Source organism: Homo sapiens, chromosome X (assembly GCF_000001405.40).
Source record: "Homo sapiens chromosome X, GRCh38.p14 Primary Assembly".
Taxonomy (NCBI): domain Eukaryota; kingdom Metazoa; phylum Chordata; class Mammalia; order Primates; family Hominidae; genus Homo; species Homo sapiens.
The window spans coordinates 71,588,598-71,615,295 of record NC_000023.11 but is presented as its reverse complement, the minus strand read 5'-3'; the positions used below and the strand labels follow the sequence as shown (position 1 = coordinate 71,615,295).

The 26,698-nt window shown below is 45.0% G+C and overlaps 1 protein-coding gene across 1 annotated transcript in view, besides 1 other annotated feature; it reads right to left on the bottom strand.

The window, feature by feature from the left end:
• Nucleotides 1,713-26,698, bottom strand: part of GCNA (germ cell nuclear acidic peptidase) — a 35,147-nt gene continuing 10,161 nt past the window's right edge. The window contains exons 3-13 of the mRNA NM_052957.5: nt 23,128-23,174; nt 22,726-22,759; nt 20,919-20,965; nt 20,517-20,550; nt 17,258-17,346; nt 10,620-11,708; nt 9,567-9,633; nt 6,179-6,323; nt 4,477-4,615; nt 2,737-2,941; nt 1,713-2,434 (exon numbers count right to left, since the gene is read on the bottom strand). Of these exons, the coding sequence (NP_443189.1) occupies nt 2,314-2,434; nt 2,737-2,941; nt 4,477-4,615; nt 6,179-6,323; nt 9,567-9,633; nt 10,620-11,708; nt 17,258-17,346; nt 20,517-20,550; nt 20,919-20,965; nt 22,726-22,759; nt 23,128-23,174 (2,017 nt within the window). The 3' untranslated portion in view covers nt 1,713-2,313. The remainder of the gene's footprint in view (nt 2,435-2,736; nt 2,942-4,476; nt 4,616-6,178; nt 6,324-9,566; nt 9,634-10,619; nt 11,709-17,257; nt 17,347-20,516; nt 20,551-20,918; nt 20,966-22,725; nt 22,760-23,127; nt 23,175-26,698) is intronic.
• Nucleotides 2,683-2,977: a silencer, noted in NCBI's record as "tiled region #14051; K562 Repressive non-DNase unmatched - State 10:DNaseD". NCBI's record gives its function as "represses a minimal TATA promoter and a strong SV40 promoter by Sharpr-MPRA in K562 cells {active_cell/tissue: K562}" and the evidence as "EXISTENCE:reporter gene assay evidence [ECO:0000049][PMID:27701403]".

Sequence of the window (26,698 nt, the reverse complement as noted above, 5' to 3'; positions counted from 1 at the left end):
ATTAGCACACAGCCACCTGGAGGCGGGCTGTGGGGAGCATTTTTCCAGGGCTATCAATGAGGCCGAAGTGAGGGAAAGAAATAACTGGGGTTTCCCAGAAAGGCAAGTGACAGGGCTGAGTTAAAACAGAAGGTGACAAGGTGGGTCTACTGCACTGTCAGTGCCCCCTAATTAAGTCACCAATGTGCTAGGATCCAGTTTCACAGGCCAGCTGCACCCCTGCTGAAACTGCAGAAACGGCCGGAGATGGGAATGGGGAGGAAGAATCTGAAGAGTTACCTGGGGAAGCTCGTCCCACCACATAAACACACCATCCCGCTTTGTGGCCTCTAGACACTCCAAGCTTTTACAAAATGAAGAAAGGAAGGGAAATGACAGAATGCACCCTGCCTAGAAAAAGTATCAGGGTAGTCAAGATGCTTGTGGCTGGCTGAAAACATGGCGCCCAAGATGTCCCCGTGCTAACCCCCAGAGCTTGTGACTATGTTACCTTAGATGGCAAAAGGGAATTGAGGTTGCCAATCAGCTGACTTGAAGAAGAGGCTCCTGGATTATCCAGGTGGGCCCAAAGTAACCACAAGAGTACTTTAAAAGTGAAAGAGGCGCCGGGAGCGGTGGCTCACACCTTAAATCCCAGCACTTTGGGAGACTGAGGCAGGCGGACCGCTTGAGGTCGGGAGTTCGAGACCAGCCTAGCCAGCATGGCTAAACCCCGTCTCTAATAAAAACACAAAAATTAGCTGAGCACAGTGGTGCATGCCTGTAATCCCAGCTACTCAGGAGGCTGAGGCAGGAGAATCACTTGAACCCAGGAAGCGGAGGTTAAAGCAAACCAAGATAGTACCACTGCACTCCAGCCTGGGCGACAGTGAGACTCCATCTCATAAAAATAAATAAATAAAAATAAAAGTGAAAGAGAGAGGCAGCAGGGGAGTCAGAGAGGGAGCTGTTACTGCCTCTGGAGGACGGGACCATGAACCCAGGAAATGTGAGCAGCCTCTAAAAGGCAGAAAAGGCCGGGCGAGGTGGCTCGCGCCTGTAATCCTAGCACTTTGGGAAGCCAAGGCGTGTGGATCACTCGATGTCAGGAATTCCAGACCAGCCTGGCCAACACGGTGAAACCCTGTCTCTACTAAAACTACAAAAATTAGCCGGGCATGGTGGCAGGTGCCTGTAATCGCAGCTACTCGGGAGGCTGAGGCAGGAGAATCACTTGAAAGCAGGAGGCAGAGGTTGCAGTGAGCCAAGATCGTGCCACTGCACTCCAGCCTGGGTGACAGAGCAAGACTCTGTCTCAAAAAAAACAGAAAGGAAAATACAAGGCAACAGATTCTCCCCCAGAGCCTCCAGGAAGGTACACAGCCCTGTCAACACCCTGATTTTAGCCCAGTGACACCGGTGATGGACTATCTGACCTCCAGAACTGTAAATGTGTGTTGTTTTAAGCCACTATGCTTGTGGTAATTTGTTGTGGCAACCATAGGAAACGAATACAATGTGGATCCCAATCCACATCCTGAATCACTCCAAGAAGTAGGGAAGCTGCTAAGTCCTTATGGGCAGTCACAGAAATCCAGAGAGAAACACGGAGTGCGGCACGCTCCTCTAGACGAGTCCTGGAGGGCTTCAGATGTTCGGAGTCTTGGACAAAAGACCAGAGGGTCTGTTCTGCTCTAGGTGCAGGGATTCAATGAACAGACTTTGCTAACAAGCAAGATGCAGAAAACTTTTATTTTTTGATTACATGGCTCAGATAGTTTCAATCAATACCATCAACAACGAATTTTATGAAACACGTTTGTCTTTCCTGTCTACATAGATGCCACAGTAGCCCTAGTGTTTAAGTGTTGCCTCTCAAACTTGTCCTCTTTCCAGCATTCTCCTCTCTCAACCTGCCACTCTTGAAAACTCACTTTTCTTTTGCATTTTGTTCTACATGTGAAAAATATGGAACTCAAGTAAGACCCAAGGTAGATCCCAAGGGCTTCAGAAATACCCTGTCAAGGGCACAGAATGGTTAGCAATAGAGTCCCTATTTAAGGTCAATCATCGTTAATAACATGAATCTTAAATTCTAACATTACTTACTTAACAGTACCTAAATTCTAATATTCCTAACTTCACAAAACAAACTTTTCTAAAACTTCTTACCAGTAAAGGATATAGCTCACATTAATATACTCTAAGATAACCTTAAGAATTCTTCATTGCCTTGTAATTCCTGCCAAGTGTTTTCATCACATCCCCAAGGCTAATCCTAGCCATCTCCTGCATAATTTTTCTATAATACTTCTGCACATACACAGCAAATGGTCACACGTGGGGCACAATACGGGTCCCATCTTTCTGAGTTAATGGCACCATGACCAGAGACCCCTTGCATTTGGCACAGATGAAGCGGCTGGTGTCCAACGATTTGGTGTAGCAGCCAATCCTGGGAAGGAATGGAACAACACACAACAAAAGAATCAGTCACTGCACCTCAGCATCAGCTCTGAGATGTTAGCCTTGGGCCCAAAGCAATACTTTTCTCTGGGTTGTCAGAGACCCGGGCACCAAGCGGCAGCAGTGGTCAGGCCGGCTCAAATTACGGAAGAGAAAGGAGAAAGAGAACGTGGAAAGGAGGAGAGAGGTTCTCCTCTTCAGTTCAGACAGCCATCTACTTATAAAATCACTGAAGAGCCACTTGGAGGCCCCAGCAAAACGTAACTGGGAAAAGTCTGAGAAGAGTCTTACCTCGTTTTGCATCCAGTACATTCATAATGGACCTTGTAGTTAATCTTATAGTTATGGCAACGGGTGACCCTGGGCAGCTCCGGGTGTATCCTGTTGGATTTCCTGGCATAATACTTCCATGCGTCACCATGAGAATCATGGATACCATCAATCAGCCAGGAGGCAGCATGGCACATTTCATGGATCAAGGTATCCCGGATTCGGTCTTGAAAGAAGAATGAAAAGAAATGTGAGCACTAAAACCAATCCTCTTTTTTTTTTTTTTTTTTTTTTTTTCCTTTTTTGAGATAGTCTTGCTTTGTCGCCCAGGCTGGAGTGTAATGGCATGATCTCAGCTCACTGCAACCTCCACCTCCCGGTTTCAAGTGATTCTCCTGCCTCAGCCTCCCAAGTAACTGGGATTACAGGCATGCACCACCATTCCTGGCTGATTTTTTTTTTTTTTTTTTAGTAGAGACGGGGTTTTGCCATGTTGGCCAGGCTGGTCCCAAACTCCTGACCTCAGGTGATCCACCCACCTCGGCCTCCCTAAGTGCTGGGATTACAGGCGTGAGCCACCACACCCGGCCCCAATCCTCTTCTTATCTGCTACCCAACAACCCCTCGACTTTCAGCGCCACCAGACACAAGGCTATCTTAAAGAAGCACATGCAGGCAAGCACGAGTGTTACCTTCCCAGGATTCTCAAAGTGAATAGTGAACCTACTTCAACCCGATATTGTTTATGGCAAAGAGCCTTCGGTGAGCAGGTCTTTTCAGAGCAGCTCCAACATGCTCATTTTTTTATGAGGCACTTCTAGAAAAACATCAGGACAAGATCTAGTTTCTGCCCTCCAGGAACAGAGATGGACAGGGTGGGGAGCAATCGCTATGGCCGTGGGATTTGGTTAGGAGAAGCTCCATGGTGAAATTGAGATCTCAGGGGTTCTTACTAATTGATTGAATTTGCAAAGTTAGAAAGGCCATTCTGGGTGTGGCAAAACATGAGTATGTGGCACATTTTTAAAAACATTTTAGAGACTAAGTCTCGCTATGTTGCCCAGGCTGGAGTGAAACTGCTATTCACAGGTGCGATCATAGTGTACTACGGCCTCGAACTCTTGGGCTCAAGCAAGCCTCTTACCTCAGCCTCCCAAATAGCTGGGACTACAGATGGGTGCCACCACACCCAGCCTGTGGTATGTTTTGAAGGCCAGTGTGAAGAGAGCCTGTCTGGGGCATGGGCTAGTGGTAGAATACTGAGAGACAAGATTGGCCAAGCCAAACAGGAGCAGATTACAATGGCCTCAAAAGCCAGGCTCTAGGCCTTGAAAAGCCCTGGTTTCTCAGCAGGAAAGCAATGTAGTGGCATATGGGAGACCAAACAGAGCAGGGATGAGGGCCTGTCCTTGGATGGAGGCACAGATAGAGAAGGAATGGTGAGCTACTCTGAAGGAAGATTTGGTGATTGGCTAGAAAGAGGGGACCTTGAACCTCAGCTCCTGAGAGAATGAAGATGCTACTGCTGGCAAAGGGGAAATGCAGAGAGAAAGGCAGGCCTGGTATAAAGATCGATAGGTTTGATTCACAGGGATGGTGAGACATCCAATAACTATGTCCTCTAAGCAACACACAGCATGCCTGCCCACCCAAGAATGACAGTTCGAGCTGTGACACAGGCTACCAGCTAGGAGTAATTTCACAGGCACGGTGTCAGAAGGAAAGAGCACAGTGGTGAAGCTACCACACTCCTGCCATCACCTGCAGAGTCGCAGACTTTCAAGCCAATCTGGATCTTGGCAAAGCGCCGCCACTTTGGGTACCACATCTCACCAGTGCTGCATAAGCCAGCAGTTTTCACCATCTTGTTATTCCAGCCTATGCGTAGTTTCTCTGGCAGCTGAGAATGAAACGCAAATGAAAGGAATCAGAAAGCTGTTTTGGGTTTTTTTGTTTTTTTGTTTTTGAGACGGAGTTTTAGCTCTTGTTGCCCAGGCTGGAGTGCAATGGTGCAAACTCAGCCCACTGCAACCTCTGCTTCCCAGGTTCAAGTGATTCTCCTGCCTCAGCCTCCCAAGTAGCTGGGATTACAGGCATGCGCCACCACACCCAGCTAATTTTTCGTATTTAGTAGAGACAGGGTTTCACCATGTTGGTCAGGCTGGTCTCGAACTCCTGACCTCAGGTGATCCGCCTGCCTTGGTCTCCCAAAGTGCTGGGATTACAGGAGTGAGCCACCACGCCGGGCCCAGAAAGCAGTTTTAAGCAGACCAGAAAATATTAACTCCAGAGTTTTTTACCCTCTAATAAAAAGGAAAAAGAACCTTCTCCCCCAGGTTCTTGGCTCAGAGCAAGTTTGAGAAGAAATTTATTCAAAGAGCACACAAATCAAAACATTCTGAGGAGAATAAAAGCCACATTAACGTCTGGGTAAAGACAACAAACAGGCAATCAGGACACAAGGGAGATTGATAGAACACGTGAGTGCAGGACTTGGGTCTCTTGTCCTTAGGGCAGCCAAGGAGAGAAGGACAACCCTGCTGAGGTGGGCGAGGCTGGACTGAAAAGGCAACTCAGAACACTTCAGTTTCCACCCATCTGATGTGACACCACTGTCATCCAGAAGGGCATCAAAGGCTGGGGAACCTTTAGGAATATGTAAGAACTTCCCTCCATAAAGTCTTGTCACCAGAGATGATGAAGTCTGAAAAATCTAATGACCAATAGGTCTCTCTGCCTCCAGATTTTCTCCAATCCAGTCCATACCCACAGGTTAGTGTCAGGTTAATTTCTTTCAGCAGGTTAATTTCATTCACTCCCTGATGCACCCCATCCCTGTGCAGTGGTGCCTACTGATGTAAATTTCACCTCCTCCAACCTGATTCCCAAGGCCCTCTGGTATCCAGTCCTACACTATCAAAAAATAAGAGCTTACTATGTCCTAGGCCCTGTTCTAGGCACTGTATGTGTATTAACTTATGTAAGGGTAACAATAATCCTATGAGGTAATACGTACTGTGTTGTCCCCATTTTACAGATGAAGAAACTGAGGCAAACTGAAGTCAAGTAACTTGTTCAAGGTCACACAGCTCTTTTCCATTATCCTTCCACAAGAATCCTCTCTTCCTGATTGTCGAGCCTCAACTCTCCCTCTCCCCCATCCTGTTTGCCACTTACCATCCTTTAAGAAGCAGAGTCTCACTTCCTCCAGGTAATCTTACTTCCTGGCTGTTGAGGCTCTTAGTGATTTCTCCCTCTGCTGATCTCCTGTGGTAACAGCCATCTGTCCTATACATTATAACTCATACACATTCTCTATTGCTTTCACCTGTACCAGGGCTCATCTCCCAACCTTAACTGCCTCTGCTCAAGGGCAGGAAGTATACATGGTTAGCACACCTCACAGCACCAAGAGTACTGGTGTATAGCAGGTGCTCAATCAGTGCTCATTCATTGATCCTACCTTTTTATCACAGACGGATCTGTTAAACAGGTCGTAGATTCTCTGAACCAATTCATCCTTATTTCGCTTTAAATTTTTTCCAGAGTATTTCTTTGACTTTTCAAGGTCTTGCAAGAAACATCCAGGGACTTTGCATTTAGGAGTCCTGCAAAGATAAATTCAACTGAGGTTTATGTAGCTAAAGAGAGAGAAGGAATGCACACCTAAGCGTCTCGTCAAGAGACCCTGAAAACATGTTGCTCCCTCTTCCATCCAGCTCCTTAGATCAGGGCATTTCCCAAGCCTTCATTTGTAGCCTTTTCTCTTCTCTCTTTGCAACCCTCAGAGGTGTAAAGCCCGTGGTTTCAAGCTCAACGAGACTTATCCCCACATCTGTATCTGCACTCTGGAGCTCTCTCCTGAGACCTAGTTCTGAATTTACAATTGCCCAGTGCAAACTTCCAACTGATTAACATGAATGTATCTCCAGCTAAACGTGTGTTCAATTATCAAACTTGTGTTACAATTGGCTGAAAAACCTCAAAGACATTTAAAAATTCCTCTTCTTGGCTGGGTGCGGTGGCTCGCGCCTTAATCTCAACACTTTGGGAGGCCGAGGCAGGCGGATCACGAGGTCAGGAGATCGAGACCATCCTGGCTAACACGGTGAAACCCTGTCTCTACTAAAAATACAAAAAATTAGCTGGGCGTGATGGTGGGCGCCTGTAGTCCCAGCTACTCGGGAGGCTGAGGCAGGAGAATGGTGTGAACCCAGGAGGCGGAGCTTGCAGTGAGCCGAGATCGCGCCACTGCACTCCAGCCTCGGCGACAGTGCGAGACTCTGTCTCAAAAAATAAAACAAAATAAAATTCCTTTTCTCTCTTTATTGGGCACAGAGACAGACTATCTTCTTCACACTTTCTCTTCCAGCCAGCACCTCCTTTCCATCCCCCTGGTTCCTACTCTAGTTCAAGTTCTTGTCCTACCCTTTAATGCCTAGATATGAGAACACTCCAGTGTTCCTTACCTCCAGGCTCTGTCTCTTCTCATCCAATCACACACACCCCTCCAGATTCATTTTTGCAGGCCATGCTCCAATTAATGTCCCCCTCTGGTTTTTCACTGACTGCCTGGCCTGACATTCATGGCCAGGGTCAACCCTGTCCAAAGCTCTATTCCCAGCTACCACTGACACTCTAGCCAAAGTGGGCAACTTAAATGTTCCCTGGACACAAATTGCAATTTCCCGCATTTGTGCCTTGGTACAATCTATTTTCCCATGGCTTACAAGGACTACATCTCCACCTCTACTGAGAATAACCTTCTGTGTAGCACTTTATCATTTGCAAAGAACTTCTTTTTGCATTGTCATATTTAATCCTCACAACTGCCCTTCAAAGAAGCTGTTACTATTTTTACGATCTCCACTGTGCTCAGGGGTCAAGTGACTTGCCCAGAGGTCACAGAGACAGTGAATCTCCTGATCCAAATCTCATGGTCTTTTGATTAAACCACAATCGCTGCCCCATCTTTCAAGGCCTAATTCAAATGGCACAAAGAATAATGCTGAACACATAAAGGACTCATACTGTAATAACTACCATTTAAACAGAAGCATTTTTATCTTAGCTGGAACAGTCCACTAAGTCCAGAGATGAGCCCAAAGAGCTGGAAAGACAAAATGGGAGCAAATGCAGCAAGTTTCTGACTTAATAGAACTCCTAAGACTAAGAATTTGCCAGAACACTTATTAACCCTTAAGTCACAAACTAAACCCTACGTGAGGAAGTTGGGCTGCAGAGGGGGGAAGTACCAGACAAGACAGAGGTTACAGAAGGTTCTTCATCCCAAGCCTGAAATGGGGGACTCAAACATTTCTGCCTCCAGTTACTTAGGTCTGAAAGCAAATTTACATCAGTATTTAAGGTGGCAGATGCAAACCTGAACCCTCTGCAGACTTTGGCAGAGCCCGGACCCCTGTGTGTTTGTGCTCACAGAACGTTGGCCTTGTGGCTTAGCATACTTTCACCTCAAGGCCTGTGGCTCTTTACTGCAGGCTGAGCACCTTCACATCAGAGGAACCGACAAGACCCCAAACTGGGTACATCAGACACCATGACCAGCAAGCAGCCTACACAGGAACAATGCTAAGCATAACAGGAAGCCTCCAGACTGACACAGGAAGTGCTAAACAACAGTTAAGAGTCCAAACGGGCTAGCCTCCTTTGGATAATGCAGACTGACAATGACACCAAGGGACAGCTTTTCCCTTCTTTTGTCACGCTCTAGCAAAGTAACCTGGGAGTTACCCAAGACACACGTCCCTGGAGGCAAAGCAGCTTAAATATGTAGTTAGGAGTCTGGAGCAGAAACCTTGCTGAAAGGGGATCCAGCTAAGAGAGTACTTGGCAAGCTGCTACCGGCTGCCTAAGCCAGTGCAGAAACAGACAGCCCTTCTGCTCAGGTCCGGGGTAACCTGGTGCCCCTATGCCTGACACATCAGTCTTTTTCCCCTCCCTTAATATACACTTATTGTCCCCAAATACTCGTTAAAAAATAACATATAGTCCTTCAAATACATTCTTTGTCTTGTAAGACAATTCAGATGTGAGCATACATTACTCTTCAATGAAAGTAAAAACAAAGAAAATTATGCTTACTATATCAAATTTTTAAGGGAAAAACTAAGAAATTCCTGGAATCTAAATAAGAAAATATATTAATTTTTTGCCTTAAGTATTAACATGTCTTTGGTCTACAGGATCAGTGGTTGTTTTCAGTATCAACTATATATAGCTTAATAAAAATAAAGGAATGATAAGCAATCCATTTCATCCTAATATTTAAGCTTAAAAATTCATACAGATATACATAGTAGTAAGAGTAACTGGGTTCAGCCAAAGCACTAGAAAAACCTGGAAGACAATCTTGACCACTCTCCCTCCAATTCCAACAGATTAATGTGTTGCTTTCGCCTTCTCACCATTTCCAGTGCCTTTGCCTTGGTTTAGCACAAACTGGTGGCCATGAGGCTGTATCCAGCCTGAAGAAAAGTGTCTTGTTTGGCTACACATTGTTCTTTGATCTGAGTTGAAGGACATAGGCAATCTCAGAGGCCAGAGCTGCTGTGGGTGCAGAAAGGCCCCCTCCACCCAGGTAACTGCAGGCACCTTGGCGGAGAGCCCATGCCCAGCCTCAGAGAGTGGGGAAAGAAGGGAGGAAGGAGCCAGTGGGTAGTATTCTCCCTTGCTTGGGCCCTCCTACTCAAGGACAGAAACCTTGTCCCCCAGTCCCATCCCAGCCAGACTCCATCCCCTTGCAGACCACCCCCACCCAAGTGCCCAGTGGACTGCCCAGTGTGACGGCTGTGCAATAAATTCCTGTTCAACTGTATGCGAGCAGTACATACCTAGTCTTGCGTTTTTCAACTTTTGCTGCACCGGGTTTCTTCTTTGAAGGCCCACGCTTCTTATGTCCTTTACCAGATGAAAAAATAATAGGTTACTTGTACCCCGAAAATTGGTACCATCACGAGACCAACAGAAAGGTAAACCCAAAAGGAGCCCTCACAGCCAAGCCCAGTGCAACTTCTCTAAACAAAACTGTCTGAAGTGGCATACTGCTGCCTTCATCATTCTCAACGATCTCACCCACGTGAATCACAGAGCTGCCAGCAGCATGAGCTGGGCAGGATTCTGTCACAGGCACCAAGGACTATGAGGGTCCAGGAGTGTGCCCTTAGAAGCTAGGTGGTGTGGGCAACTGAAGCGTGCACAGTCGAAGGGGTGCTATGGAACAGCTCACACACCTGCTCCAATGAGTGGCTCATATTCTAGGCAGCACCTTTACTCAGTGTGCAGGGCAAGGCAGATCCTGCCAGCTGCTCTAGCTAAAGGCTTATGTATCAATAGTCAGTGTCATTCATATATCTAAAAAATTTATTGAACCTCTATCATGTGCCAAGCACCAGGCCAAATCCTGAGAGAGACTAAAAGATGAGGAAGAGTCCTCCCACGAAGAGGCTCACAGTCTACCGGGACGGGGTAGGGAAGGGGACAGACTCAGGAATGTATTCTAACAATGTGACTAGTGCTTTGGTAGAGATGGGCTCTAGAACTTTGGTAACCCAGGAGACAGGAGCCACCCTGACTCACGGCTTCATAGAGGAAGAGATAATTTCCTAAGAAAAATAAGATATCCTCAGAACAGAAGGTTCAGGGAGACAGCACTCTAGGCTAGTGAACAGCAAATACTAAGATACAGGAGCATGAGAAAGATGTGGGCATTCCTCCCCTGTTCCCAGAACCATCCTTGCACTGGGATGGATGCCTCCTTGGGCCACAGGGAAGTTGCTGAAATGGCACAGGGTTGAAAGGGAGGACAGGCAGACTGGATAACACAGGCACATTTGGCAGGCAAGGCACATTCAGTGGGACAGGCATACTTGGCATGACTGGCTTACCAGGTGTCACAGATACATTTTTGGTTTTCGCCTTCCTCTTCCTCAGTGGCTCCACTATATTTTTGGTCTTTGTCTGCCTTTTCCTTGGTGGCTCCACTATATTTTTGGTCTTTGTCTGCCTTTTCCTCGGTGGCTCCACAATAGTTTTGGTTTTTGACTTCCTTTTCCCTGATTGTTCCACCACAGGTGCAGGCTCTTCCTCAGTTGGCAGCTTTCTCTCTGAAACTTCAGGGTTAGCCTCAGGATCACTTGGTGGTTTGCTGAGATTCTCACCAAGATCCTGCTCACCAGCATCATCAGATGAATCATGCTGGGAGACAGCAGCAGCAGCCTCAACCAGCTCTTCTTCATCTGAAGCAATTTGGCCTTCATTACACAAATCTTCTGCTGGCACAGGAACTTCCAAATCATCACTATTGTCATCGGGAACATCCGAATCATCACTCTTGTCTTCGGGAACATCCGAATCATCACTCTTGTCGTCGGGAGCTTCCGAATCATCACTGCTGTCGTCGGAAGCTTCCGAATCATCACTGCTGTCGTCGGAAGCTTCCGAATCATCACTGCTGTCGTCGGGAGCTTCCGAATCATCACTGCTGTCGTCGGGAGCTTCCGAATCATCACTGCTGTCGTCGGGAGCTTCCGAATCATCACTGCTGTCGTCGGGAGCTTCCGAATCATCACTGCTGTCGTCGGGAACATCCGAATCATCACTGCTGTCGTCGGGAACATCCGAATCATCACTCTTGTCGTCGGGAACATCCGAATCATCACTGTTGTCGTCGGATGAATCATCACTGTTGTCGTCGGATGAATCATCACTGTTGTCGTCGGGAACATCCGAATCATCACTATTGTCGTCGGGAGCTTCCGAATCATCACTGTTGTCGTCGGGAGCTTCCGAATCATCACTGTTGTCGTCAGGAGCTTCCGAATCATCACTGTTGTCGTCGGGAGCTTCTGAATCATCACTGTTGTCGTCGGGAACTTCCAAATCATTACCGTTGTCATCGTCATTGTCATCATCACTAATAACTATTGGAGGTTCCTGGATGGCAGGCTTCACATGACAACACTCCGGACTCTCATCTGAAATTCAAGAGACACAATCATATGTAAATATACTCCCTCTACCACCTCCTTTATATGCTAAATTTCAGCAGATTATTTAGCACAAATTAAACAAGACAGGAACTGTGACATTTTGAATAGCAGTTAAGAATCGGTTATTTTAAAGGAGACACCAACAAATGGAAAGATTCCATGTTCATGGATTGGAAGACTCAATATTGTTAAAATGTCCATACTGCCTAAAGAAATGTAAAGATTCAATACAATCCCTATCAAAATACCAATGACATTCTTCACAGAACTAGAAAAAACTATCCTAAAATTTATATGGAATCATGAAAGGCCCAGAATAGCCAAAGTTATCCTGAGCAAAAAGAACAAAGTGGAGGAATCACATAACCTGCCTTCAAATTACACTACAGAGCTACAGTAACCAAAACAGCATGGTACTGGCATAAAAACAGACAACATAGGCCAATGGAATAGAATAGAGAACCCAGAAACAAATCCACACACCTACAGCAAACTCATTTTAGAAAAAGGTGCCAAGAACATACACTGGCGAAAAGGAAGTCTCCTCAATAAATGGTGCTGGGAAACCTGGATATCCATATGCAAAAGAATGAATCTAGACTCCTATCTCTTGCTATACAAAAATCAAATCAAAATGGATTAAAGACATAAATCTAAGACCTCAAACTATGAAACTACTACAAGAAAACATTGAGGAAAATCTCCAGGACATCAGTCTGGGCAAAAATTTCTTGAGCAATACCCCACAAGCACTGGCAACCAAAGCAAAAATGGACAAATGGGATCACATTAAGTTAAAAAGCTTCTGCACAGCAAAGGAAACAATCAACAAAGTGAAGAGACAACCCACAGAATGGGACAAAATATCTGCAAACTACCCATCTGACAAGGGATTAATAACTAGAGTATATACGGAGGTCAAACAACTCTATAGGAAAAAAAAATCTAATAATCCAATGAAAAAATGGGACAAAAGATCTGAATAGACATTTCTCAAAAGAAGACATACAAATGGCAAACAGGCATATGAAAAGGTGTTCAACATCATTGATCATCAGAGAAATGCAAATCAAAACTACAATGAATGACCAGACACGGTGGCTCACACCTGTAACCCCAGCAGTTTGGGAGGGCAAGGCGGGTGGATTATCTGAGGTAAGGAGTTTGAGACCAGCCTGGCCAACATGGCAGAACCCCATCTCTACTAAAAATACAAATATTAGCCAGGTATGGTGATGTGTGCCTGTGGTCCCAGCTACTTGGGAGGCTGAGGCAGGCGAATCGCTTGAACCTGGGAGGTGGGGGTTATACTGAGCCAAGATCACACCACTGTACTCCAGCCTGGGTGAGCGTGAGACTGTCTCAAACAAAACAAAAAACAAAAAACAAAACCTACAATGAGGTATCATCTCACCCCAGTTAAAATGGCTTTTAGCCAAAAGACAGGCAATAATAAATGCTGGTGAGAATGAGGAGAAAAGGGAACCCTTGTACATTGCTGGTAGGAATGTAAATTAGTACAACCACCCTGGAGAACAGTTTGGTGGTTCCTCAAAAAACTAAAAACAGACCTACCATACAATTCAGCAAACCCACCGCTGCGTATATACCCGAAAGAAAGAAAATCAGTATATCAAAGAGATATCTGCACTCCTATGTTTGTTGTAGCACTGTTCACAATAGCCAAGATTTGAAGCAACCTATGTGCCCATCAACAGATGAATGGAGGTCGGGCACGGTGGCTCGCGCCTGTAATCCCAGCACATTGGGAGGCCAGGGCGCACGGATCACTTGAGGCCAGGAGTTTGAGACCAGCCTGGCCAAAATGGTGAAACCCCATCTCTACTAAAACTACAAAAATTAGCCAGGCATGGTGGAGGGTGCCTGTAGTCCCAGCTACTCAGGAGGCTGAAGCAGGAGAAATCGCTTGAACCCAGTAGGCAGAGGCTGCAGTGAGCCGAGATTGCGCCACTGCACTCCAGCTTGGGCAGCAGAGCAAGACTCCGTCGCAAAAAAACAAAACAAAACAAAAAAAAACAGATGAATGCATAAAGAAAATGTGGTACATATGCACAATGGAGCAATGGAGTACTGCTCAACCATAAAAAAGAATGAGATCCTGTCATTTGCAACAACATGGATGGAACTGGAGGTCATTATGTTAAGGGAAATAAGCCAGGCACAGAAAGACAAATTTCACGTTTTTTTCTCGTTGTTGTTGTTGTTGTTGTTTGAGATGGAGTCTTGCTCTGCCGCCAGGCTGGAATGCAGTGGCGCAATCTCGGCTCACTGCAACCTCCACCTCCCGGGTTCCAGCAATTCTGTCTCAGCCTCCCAAGTAGCGGGGACTACAGGCACGCACCACCACACCCAGCTAATTTTTGTATTTTTAGTAGAGACGGGGTTTCACCATGTTGGCCAAGATGGTCTCGATCTCTTGACCTCGTGATCCGCCTGCCTCGAACTCCCCAAGTGCTGGGATTACAGGCGTGAGCCACCACACGCATGTTCTCATTTATATGTGGGGTCTAAAAATGAAAACAATTGAACTAATGGAGACAGAGAATAGAAGAATAGTTAACAGAGGCAGGGAAGGATAGTGGAGGGGTGTGGAAAGGTAGGGATGGTTAATGGGCACAAAAAAATAGAAAGAATAAGATCTACTATTTAATAGCGCAACAGGATGACTGTAAGTCACTAACTTAACTGTACATTTTAAAATAATTAAAAGAGTATAACTGGATTGCTTGTAACACAAAGGATAAATGCTTGAGAAGACAGATACTGCATTCTCTATGATGTGATTATTACACATTGCATGCTTGTATCAAAACATCTCATGTACCCCATAAATATATACACCTACTATCTACTCACAAAAATGAAAAATTATTTTTTAAAAAAGAAAGTTACTTTAGATTGTTTTTCCCCTATTTTTTATTTCACTGAGAGCAGTGACAGATCAAATAGCAACCAAACTCGTGGCAATTTTCAAATCATAGTCTCTAAGTAGCAAGATACAGTAGTTGCTTCGGGCTTCCCAAACACGGGTCTGCAGACTTGTATATTTTCACTGGTCCACAGCAAAATAAGACAAATTAGAATAATAAAGTGGTATTTTTTCTCCCATCAAGTTAAATTTCTATAATTTAAAGGACTGTCCTTTATTTTGTGATTATGTCTTGGTTAAACTTTTGGTGTTCTTTACAAAATTACAAAGATAGTAAATGGTAGCTGAAGTTTTTTTTTTTTAATTTCCTTCATTAGACAAATTAAAAATTGACAACTCTGTGTTGGTCACCAAAATTTCATTCTTTAAATTAGTTCATAAGTGCAAAGCTCTCAGAACCACTGATATGAGTCAGGAGTAGGTCCTGATGTCAGCACTCTCTGAGAGGCCTCAGAACATTTGGAACATCACTGCCTGCACTGAAATGAAGGTCGGTGTGTCTGACGCCACACACTCTTTGAAGTCTGTTTGGAGCTCAAGTTCTAGCTTTCTATGATTCTGGATGTAAACAAAAATCTAAAAATCTAAACCATGGCATAGGCAAGATGTGAAAGATATATTCATGGTGCAAAATCTCTTTATCCTAAAACTGCAGATTTGAGATAATATATTTTGAGAGTCTTATCTGTTATTTGAATTAATTATGAAAAAACTTCAAATATGCAGTAAGGGAAGAGAAAAGGAGTAGATGTTCCTATGGTAAAAAGCCCTGCCTCTTTCCTAGAAAACTTAAAAGATTTGCCACCTGCAGTTGAAATTAAAAATTAGAAAAAGTAGGGACACACTGCTTACGATATATTTAAAAATGACTATGTACAGTGACAAAGGTTGGAGGTATGTTTTAGAGTTCACTGGGCCTTGTTTTCTGTAGAATTGCCTAAATTCATTATAACAAAAAGAAATGCCACGTAGAGAACAGCAAAGAAACATACAAAGCCAGTCCTATAGGAGCATTCTTCATCCCTCCATTGCTGCGATGGATGCCCACAGCTACAGTCCACAGGCCAGCAAGGTTAAGAGCAGCCTTAGCTAAAAGTTCACCCTCAAAAGAATCGGTCTCTTCTGATTTAAGGAGTAAAGCACCTGGTGGCCTCCGGTTGTGAACTGGTTTCTGGCTCTGTTACTCCTGCCTGCCCTCAAGCTGCCTCCTTGGAGTTCCTTTCACATTTGAACAGCTTGTCATGTCAGACCCTCTACTCTGCACCCAGACCACTGTCCTGCTCAGGCACAGCCACCCAGAGCTAGAGAGAGGAAGCAGGGAAAGAAATCCAAAAGGATAGGTGGTAGAACAATAGGAGACTAGCGTTTCAAACCACCTCTCCCTTCCCTGCTCTGATATCCCGGGTTAGCTAAGCAACTCTGGCCAACAATAGCTCTTGGGTAGTTATCTAAGAAGTAGCTGGTGCTGGTCAGGCCCAGTGGCTCACACCTGTATCCTAGCACTTTGGGAGGCCAAGGCAAGCAGATTGCTTGAGGCCAGGAGTTCAAGACCAGCCTGGCCAACATGGAGAAATCCCATCTCTACTAAAAAAAAAAAAAACAACAACAAAAAAAATTAGCTGGGCATGGTGGCGGGCGCCTGTAATCCCAGCTATTCAGGAGGCTGAGGCAGGAGAATCACTTGAGCCCAGGAGGCAGAGGTTGCAGAGAGCTGAGATCATGCCACTGCACTCCAGCCTGGGCAACAGACCGAGACTGTCTCCAAAAAAGTTGTAGTTGGTGCTTTAAGGGTGTCCCATTTTCAGTTGAGTTCAGCTCAGCAAACATTAACTAAGTGCCCCACGTATCATGCCCTATACCTGTACTGACAGAACAAAGCTCAGTGAAATACTGTCCCTAATGCTTAAAAAGTTTCTAGTCTTCCTGTGTTTCATCCCCCACCGAGCAGGTAGGTTCTGAATTCAGTTAAGCTCCAAGCCACCCAGAAGGCTAAAGGGGCTTCTGATCCAAAGAGGTAAGGAACTGCCACGGGAAACAGGCTCTAAAGAAACACAAGAATCTGTAGAAAATACAGAAGGACCGGCAAACAGCAAAGACCAGCAGCTCAATGGAAAAAGAGTTTTCTCAACACGACACTGCCAGCTGGCCCATAACCACCACCCTTCAAGCTGGAAGGAAGAATGAGCCAGGCCTCTTACTCCTTTCCTCTTCCTCGTCATTCCCACACATAGAGCGGGGAAGAGAGGAAGAGGGAGTCACAGAGCAGCCTCCATACTTCCTAGCCTCAGCTCTTGACCCACCACCCCTACCCCGCTTCACTGATATAGCTCTAGGCAGGTAAGAACTCTACTGAGGGGGCCCCCAAGGTCTGAGGCAGCAACAACAGTTGCTGCTGCTGGGAAATTGACCAGGGGGTATAGGGAACCCGGCCATATCCACAGCCAGCACATACGAGGAAAGAAACGGTGGCACTCACTACTGAGGGATTCTGAATAGAAAGTCTGCGGACTCTGATCCTGAAAGTACCACGTGTGATGAGGCTTTGGAGCTCAGCTACTTATCTAACAAAGTAATATATACTTGCCGTCGCTGTTTATTTCCAATAACTTAGCTTTCTTCTCTTCATGGGTGTGACATTCCTCATCAGAATCAGAGTCAATCACTACCACGGAGCTGAGTGATGAAACAGGAGAAAAACAAGAGAGAAGTATGAACGCAACAGTCTTCTTTTTCATGGCATTTCTCACCTTTTCTGATCTTGACCACTTGTCAATTTTTTGTTTCCCACAGTAACTCTGTTCCCCTCCTTTGGAACTACTCAATCCTTCCATTCTACCTGATTTTCTATCTTTTTCTCTTTTTCCATCTTCCTACATCTTTCCATCTGTCTCACATCCTTCTAAAACGAGGAGTCTGTCACATACTGAGAGTGAAATGGGCTCTGTCAGATTTTATGTATTCAGATAGTTTTGGCACAGTGGTAAAATTGATCAGGGAGTTGTCATCTTTCTTTATCAAGTTTGAGATCCAGTTGTCTGAGAAGGGTAGAGGGCCACAGATGGAGAGAGGCAGCCTCAGAGTAGGGAGTTTCTCTTCAGTGCTACTCTCTGCAACCCCAAACCAGCACCACCCTCTTGAACTGACGGACTGCTCTGGTAGGTGTCAAACTCAGCAGTGCACCTGCACCACCCAGGGTGCCAGTGGTAAGCACCCCCTGGGGTCCTCATCCTCGGCTAATCCTGGTATTTGGCTCAGAAGTTCCAGCAGGATGAAATTGGCCACCTTCCTGTCCCCAAACAGTGTATAATAAGTATAATATACTTTCATAATGAAAGAAAAATACTTAATACACTGTTACAGGACATGTCTGCACCTGCTACAGACACACATGTTCATCTGCTTCCACCATGTTTACCACTTTGACACTGCCAAGTTGATGTGCCTTTGCTATCCTATTGACTACTCCATCCTTAAAACTCTTTTCTTGATTTCTGGGACAAAGTCGTCTTTTGGTTCTCGTCTCACCTTTCCATTCACTCCTCCTCACTCATCTTCCTCGACTCAATCCCAGGACTTATCCCCAGCCCTCTCATGCCAATACAATCAATTATTAATTACACCAGCCCAATTCATTATATTGAGCCCAACTTCTCTTCTGACTTCTAGCTCCACAGTTCCAACTTCCTACCTGGATATCCTGTGGGCAGGGCTGATATTTAGTCAGTATGCAGAGGTACGGCCTTACCGATTTGTTTATTGATGGTGTCTGTCCTGACCAGCAGGCAACCATCCTGACTAATTCCTGCCTGTGTTCTGTTGGTTGTTAGAAAATTTTGATTATCAGCCCTGCCTACAGGCTCCTTGATTCTAGCATGCCCAAAACCAAACTCATCACCTTCCTCCCAAATCTACTCTTCCTATATCCCATATATAGATGGCACCTGGGACTGGACCAAGACCTGTGGGCACTCCTTGCAGGTCCCTTAAAACTGATTTTCTTTAAACATTTGTTCACCATCTATCTAGCAGAGGCTGGAAGAAACTATTTTTTCTATTTAAAACTCAGATACATTTTAATTATCAAATAAGGACTTCATTATGTATAATATTATACACTGGAATACTTCTTAGGAGCCATGATAGAACATTTAAAATATAAATAACAGCAATGGAAATACTCTGCATCTTGATAGTGGTGATGGTTACACTACCATATATGCTTGTCAAAATCCATCAAACTGTACACCTAAAAAGGGTGAATTTTACCATATATAAATCATACCTCAATAAACCAGACTTTAGAAATACAATTAACAAAACTGATCATCAACGATTAATAGCTTTATACATTATTTGGCTCTAGAATTTCAGCTGATTGCAACTGCTGACTTTATTTATTTATTTATTTATTGAGAGAGTCTCACTCCCACCCAGGCTGGGGTGCAGTGACGCAATCTTGGCTCACTGCAACCTCCGCCTCCCAGGTTCCAGTGATTCTCGTGCCTCAGCCTCCTAAGTAGCTGGAATTAGAGGCACATGCTACCACACCCTGCTAATTTTTGTATTTTTATTAAAGATGGGGTTTCCCCATGTTGGCCAGGCTGGTCTTGAACTCCTGACCTCAAGTGATCCGCCCACCTTGGTCTCTCAAAGTGCTGGGATTACAGGCATGAGCCACTGTGCCCGGCCTGCAACTGCAGATTTTAAATGACATTTCACACATTGGTGTCAGGAGTTGGTGGCTTACACGTTATGAAAATACTCAATAGAGATAAATCGGAGATAGCCAGAACAAAAACTTTCCCACTTCACAGCACTATCTAGCTTGATGGGGGGAACAAGAATGACCAATTTGCATTTGTACAGTAATTCAAGGAGTCAATGTGGAAAACAGTTATGTAGCACCATACTTCATATTTACTCCAGCAATTTTTTTCAGCACCCCCTACAGTTTGGCACCTGGGAAACACCCCTCCATCAAGCTCTGGCTAGAACAGAGGATTCATTAATAGGAACAGTAGCAGGTGAGGCTGAAAGAGAGGTTATGGCCAGATCACAGAAGGCGTTAAATATTGGGGTAAACAGCTTGATTTTTCTATTACGAGCTATTTGAATTGAGGATTGATATGATCAAAGCAGTGCCTCAGGAGATCCAACTACAAGTGGTACACCGACTGGATCAGAAGTAAGAGATCAAGGTGAGGAAGCCACTTAAAAAGAAGAAACAAGCTGGGCACGGTGGCTCACACCTGTAATCCCAGAACTTTGGGAGGCCAAAGCAGGTGGATCGCTTCAGGTCAGGAGTTCAAGACAAGCCTGAAAAACATGGTGAAACCCCATCTCTACTAAAAACACAAAAATTAGCCGGGCATGGTGGCGTGTGCCAGTAATCTCAGCTACTTGAGAGGCTGAGGAGAAGAATCACCAGAACTCAGGAGGCGGAGGCTGCAGTGAGCCGAGATTGCACCACTGCACTCGAACCTGGTCGAGCAAGACTCAGTCTCAAAACAAAACAAAACTAAACTAATCTAAAAACAAAAATAAAAAGGAGCAAACACCAAAAAGGGCTTAGACTAGTAGAGCCTGGATGTTAAGGCATAGTTCACAGAGATACCTCAAAGAAGAAACTGACCAGTTAGATAATGGGTCAGGCATAAGGAATCTAATGTTTTCAACCTGGTTGTGATGTCAAACAGCCATCATGATCCTGCTGAGAACCACAGAGTGTCCACAGAGGAAATGTGAAGTTTACTCTTAAATTTCCTTAGACAGAGCATGGGGTTTTTCCCCCCTTAATTTAAAAAAAAAAAAAAAAGTAAAGTTTCATTAATTCTCCTACTCACCTCGCCTGTCTCTTCGGAGCTCTTCTGGCCACAGCTAAATCAGAGAAAGAGGGCATTAGAAAACATCTGAAGCATGAAAAAATCTGGTTGCCTATGTCTTTAACTCCCTAAAACCAAAGTCTATAAATTAGAGCTGCTTAAAATTTACATCTCCCATGAAGGATAGAAAGGAAATAAAAGTAAGGAAACCCAGAGCCAAAAAAAAAGGAGGAAAGTAAGTTGGAAAAGAAGCAGAGAACCTCCTCCACTCCTGACAGTAGGGAAATTTCATTTCACCGACCTAAAGAGAGCCCTAGAGGTGACGAACTTAGAACCAACTTAGGCCAGACATCCCAAATCACAGTTGAGTCATCTCTACAAAGACACTTCAAAATGTTCCTGCTTTGAGTGGACTCTACTTACAAGACCCACTGGTGTCACCACTCCTTGACTGGACATTAAGGATGCAACTGCAAAAATAAAAGAGATACTTTATAAAAGGAGGGCTATCGACGCCATAAGCAACCAATTATCAAAAATCCCAAATAAGTGAAGAAAACAACCAATCAGAATTCCTGAAATGCAAAAAGGTTTTAAGGGCTTTAAGCCCTTAGGAAATTAGGATCACAACAGCACAAGTGAACAAAAATTGGAAGCAATGAGCTGCTCAGTCCTTACTGCTGAATCAAAAACACGGGAAGAATGTTAGCTGAGTATCATTAGCTATCAGTGAAAAGCCTGTTTTCTGCCAAGTAATTTATTTCTATTTAAAGGTATGAAAGAGACGCCAGGCATGGAGGCTCACGCCTGTAATCCCACCAACTCGGGAGGCTGAGCAGGGAGGATTGCTTGAGCCCAGGAATTCAAGGTTGCAGTGAGCTATGATGGTGCCACTGCACTGCAGTGTGGGCGACACAGCAAGACCCTGTCTCTAAAAAAAAGTAAAATAAAAAATAAAGACATGAAAGTGAGTCTTGAGAAAAGAGCCTCGGGGGAAAGGACTTGAGGATGAAGAGATTGCAGTCAAAAATTAAAGGGCAAAAGGGCAAGGAGGTCCCCGTTAAGGGTGTACTTCTTGGAGACAGCCTACTGTTTGGGATTGATATCTAGGTAAATGGACAACTACTGAACTCCGTTTCATGCAGAGCCAATGAATGGATGGTTTCAAAGCTGCCACTGCTCCCTGCAGTGAGCCACGATGCTGGGGCCTCTTGCTTCTCTGTCTCATCTGCCAGGGGTCCCAGCACTCTCTCTCTGCTGCTCTGTGGCAGGCTACTTTGCCTCTTGCTATCACTTACGAGAGTTATGCAGCACCACCTGAGGTGAAGCCAAGCACTTCCTGCTCGGAACCCTTCAGCTCGCCAGACAGCAGCCGGCTGGACATCCACTGTCAGCCAGATCCAAACTCCAGCCCAGGGGAGTCACACCGCAGTGAGCACCACTTCACCGCCACTGCCACTCCTCCAATGTGGCGCCTGGCTACATCATAGGTCATCTTGTTATTAGTTATTGTGACACATAGTCCACAGAGGATATCAAAATGCTAAAGGAGGGGGACATAATAGCTATAAGGAAGTCCAGGCTCTACATACTAAAAGTTAGACTTAGGCCAGGTGCAGTGGTTCACGCCTGTAATCCTAGCACTTTGGGAGGCCAAGGCAGGTGGATCACTTGAGGTCAGGAGTTCAAGACCAGCCTGACCAACATGGTGAAACCCCATCTCTACTAAAAATACAAAAATTAGCCAGGCATGGTAGCGTGTGCCTATAATCCCAGCTACTCTGGAGGCTGAGGCAGAAGAATCACTTGAACCCCGGAGGTGGAGATTGCAGTGAGGTGAGATCGTGCCACTGCATTCCAACAGAGCAAGACTCAGTCTCAAAAAAAATAAAAATACAAATAAAAACTAAAGTAAACTAAAAATAAAACTAAAAGGGAGTAAACACTGATAAGGGCTTAGACTAGTAGAGCCTGGATGTTAAGGCATAGTTCACAGAGATACCTCAAAGAAGAAACTGACCAGTTAGATAATGGGTCAGGCATAAGGAATCTAATGTTTTCAACCTGGTTGTGATGTCAAACAGCCATCATGATCCTGCTGAGAACCACAGAGTGTCCACAGAGGAAATGTGAAGTTTACTCTTAAATTTCCTTAGACAGAGCATGGGGTTTTTCCCCCCTTAATTTAAAAAAAAAAAAAAAGTAAAGTTTCATTAATTCTCCTACTCACCTCGCCTGTCTCTTCGGAGCTCTTCTGGCCACAGCTAAATCAGAGAAAGAGGGCATTAGAAAACATCTGAAGCATGAAAAAATCTGGTTGCCTATGTCTTTAACTCCCTAAAACCAAAGTCTATAAATTAGAGCTGCTTAAAATTTACATCTCCCATGAAGGATAGAAAGGAAATAAAAGTAAGGAAACCCAGAGCCAAAAAAAAAGGAGGAAAGTAAGTTGGAAAAGAAGCAGAGAACCTCCTCCACTCCTGACAGTAGGGAAATTTCATTTCACCGACCTAAAGAGAGCCCTAGAGGTGACGAACTTAGAACCAACTTAGGCCAGACATCCCAAATCACAGTTGAGTCATCTCTACAAAGACACTTCAAAATGTTCCTGCTTTGAGTGGACTCTACTTACAAGACCCACTGGTGTCATCACTGCTTGACTGAACATTAAGGATGTAACTGCAAAAATAAAAGAGATACTTTATAAAAGGAGGGCTATCGACGCCATAAGCAACCAATTATCAAAAATCCCAAATAAGTGAAGAAAACAACCAATCAGAATTCCTGAAATGCAAAAAAGGTTTTAAGGGCTTTAAGCCCTTAGGAAATTAGGATCACAACAGCACAAGTGAACAAAAATTGGAAGCAATGAGCTGCTCAGTCCTTACTGCTGAATCAAAAACACGGGAAGAATGTTAGATGAGTTATCGCTAGCTATCAGTGAAAAGCCTGTTTTCTGCCAAGTAATTTATTTCCATTTAAAGGTATGAAAGCAACACCAGGCATGGAGGCTCACGCCTGTAATCCCACCAACTTGGGAGGCTGAGCGGGGAGGATCGCTTGAGCCCAGGAATTCAAGGTTGCAGTGAGCTATGATGGTGCCACTGCACTGCAGTGTGGGCGACACAGCAAGACCCTGTCTCTAAAAAAAAGTAAAATAAAAAATAAAGACATGAAAGTGAGTCTTGAGAAAAGAGCCTCGGGGGAAAGGACTTGAGGATGAAGAGATTGCAGTCAAAAATTAAAGGGCAAAAGGGCAAGGAGGTCCCCGTTAAGGGTGTACTTCTTGGAGACAGCCTACTGTTTGGGATTGATATCTAGGTAAATGGACAACTACTGAACTCCGTTTCATGCAGAGCCAATGAATGGATGGTTTCAAAGCTGCCACTGCTCCCTGCAGTGAGCCACGATGCTGGGGCCTCTTGCTTCTCTGTCTCATCTGCCAGGGGTCCCAGCACTCTCTCTCTGCTGCTCTGTGGCAGGCTACTTTGCCTCTTGCTATCACTTACCAGAGAGTTATGCAGCACCACCTGAGGTGAAGCCAAGGTTCCTGCTCGGAACCCTTCAGCTCACCAGACAGCAGCCGGCTGGACATCCACTGTCAGCCAGATCCAAACTCCAGCCCAGGGGAGTCACACCGCAGTGAGCACCACTTCACCGCCACTGCCACTCCTCCAATGTGGCGCCTGGCTACATCATAGGTCATCTTGTTATTAGTTATTGTGACACGTAGTCCACAGAGGATATCAAAATGCTAAAGGAGGGGGACATAATAGCTATAAGGAAGTCCAGGCTCTACATATTAAAAGTTAGACTTCAGCTGGGCACGGTGGCTCACGCTTGTAATCCCAGCACTTTGGGAGGCCGAGGCAGTTGCATTGCTTGAGGTCAGGAGCTCAAGATCAGCCTGACCAACATGGTGAAACCCCATCTCTACTGAAAATACAAAAATTAGCCAGGCCTGTTGGCGGGCGCCTGTAATCCCAGCTACTCGGGAGGCTGAGGCAGGAGCATCACTTGAACCCAGGAGGCAGAGGTTGCAGTGAGCCAAGATCCACGCCACTACACTCCAGCCTGGGCCACAGAGCGAGACCCCATCAAAAAAAAAAAAAATTAGACTTAGCCACTTCTTTACGGCTTTTCATTTGGCCTAGAGGCTGATACTGTGCTGCCTGTATACTTTTCCAATCTTTCAAAATACATGATGGCTCAACTCCTTGATTAAACTTCCTATGCATTTCTCAACCACTGTACATTGGACTTAGTAGTAGACTTCAAGTTTTTTTCTTTAATCAGGAAAGAAACCTTTTGCTGGCTGTACGGTTTCCCATGTATGGGTCAATATGTGATGTTAGTTGTCAGTAAACAGCACTATATATTATATAAACTAACAGCTGATTCAGACTTCATCCATCTTTTTACATACTTTTGTGTTACAAACACACCTACTTTTTTGAGAGGTCAGGCAAAAGGAACAAAGGATCAACATGAGGCAAAAAGTTACATGACAGAGAGCCCCACCCAAATCCCTAATGGCAAAATATCAAATTCCAGGTGGGATAGTAACCAACAGGTGAGGAAGTCCAAGGAAAGCACTAAGGAAGAAATACATGGTCAAAAAGAAGGCAGATTTTGTTTGGTATCTTTTCCAAGTAATATTCACCACCAGGGGAACAAGTCCCTAGAATGTATTTCAAGGCTCATGTTACTATTATTAGAAAATATACGCAGGTGGCTGAATGCAGTGGCTCACGCTTGTAATCAGCACTTTGGGAGGCTAAGGCGGGAGGATTACTTGAGCCCAGGAGTTCAAGACCAGCCTGGGCAACATGGTGAAACCGTCTCTACAAAAAAAAAAAAAATCAAACAACGAGGCTGGAGGGTTGCTTCAGCCCGAGAGGTCGGGGCTGCAGTGAGCCATGATAGTGCCACTGCAGTTCCCACCTGGGTGACAGGAGTGAGACCCTGTCTTAAAAAAAAAGAAAATATATGCAGGCTAGCTGACATGTTAAGAATAGGGGAAAAGGAAAAAAGGAGGCTGGGTGCAGTGGCTCATGCCTGTAATCCCAGCACTTTGGGAGGCCGAGGTGGGTGATCACCTGAGGTCAGGAGTCTGAGACCAGCTGGGCCAACATAGCAAAATCCCGTCTCTACTAAAAAATACAAAACTTAGCTGGGTGTGGTAGCACATGCCTATAGTCCAATTTCTTCAGAGGCTGAGGCAGGAGAATCACTTGAAACCTGGAGGCAGAGGTTGCAGTGAGCCAAGATTGCACCACCGCACTCCAGCCTGGGTGACAGAGCAAGACTCTGTCTCAAAAAAAAAAAAAAAAAAAAAAAAAAAAAAAAAGGAAATATATGCAGGCCAGGTACGCTGTAGTCCCAGCTATGCAGGGGGTAGGGGAGGACTGCATGAGCCCAGGAGGTGGAGGCCTCAGTGCACCATGATCACACCTGTGAATAGCCACTGTACTCTGGCCTGGGAAATACAGCAAGAAACCCCCCACCACACCTCGTTAAAAAAAAAGAATATATGCATTGAAGGAAGAAGAACCAGAATTCTATCATGAAAGGACTAAGAAATAACATTGGAAGGCTTTAAAGATACATTTAAAAAAAAAAACAAACCTCAAAAACTATAGAAGAGCTGGGAGCAGTGGCTCATGCCTATAATCCCAACACTTTGGGAGGTCGAGGCCGGAGGATCACTTGGGAGCAGGAGTTCAAGACTAGTGTGGGCACCATAGCGAGACTCTTTGTCTTTACAAAAAATATTTTTAAATTAGCTGGATGTGGGATCCTCCCAGCTACTCAAGAGTATCCCTTGAGCCCAAGAGTTCGAGGCTGCAATGAGCTATGATGGCATCACTGCACTCCCACCTGGCTGACAAAGAAAAAAAAAAAAAAACTTAAAAAAAAGTTATAAAAGATCCAAAAAAGATCTATTTTATTTTATTTTATTTTATTTATTTATGAGACAGAGTCTCGCTCTGTCACCCAGGTTGCAGTGCAGTGGCGCGATCTTGGTTCACTGCAACCTCCACCTCCTGGGTTTAAGTGATTCTCCTGCCTCAGCCTGTGGAGTAGCTGGGATTACAGGCGTGTGTCACCACGCCCAGCTCATTTTTGTATTTTTAGTAGAGATGGGGTTTCACCATGTTGGCCAGGCTGGTCTTGAACTCCTGACCTCAGGTGATCTGCCA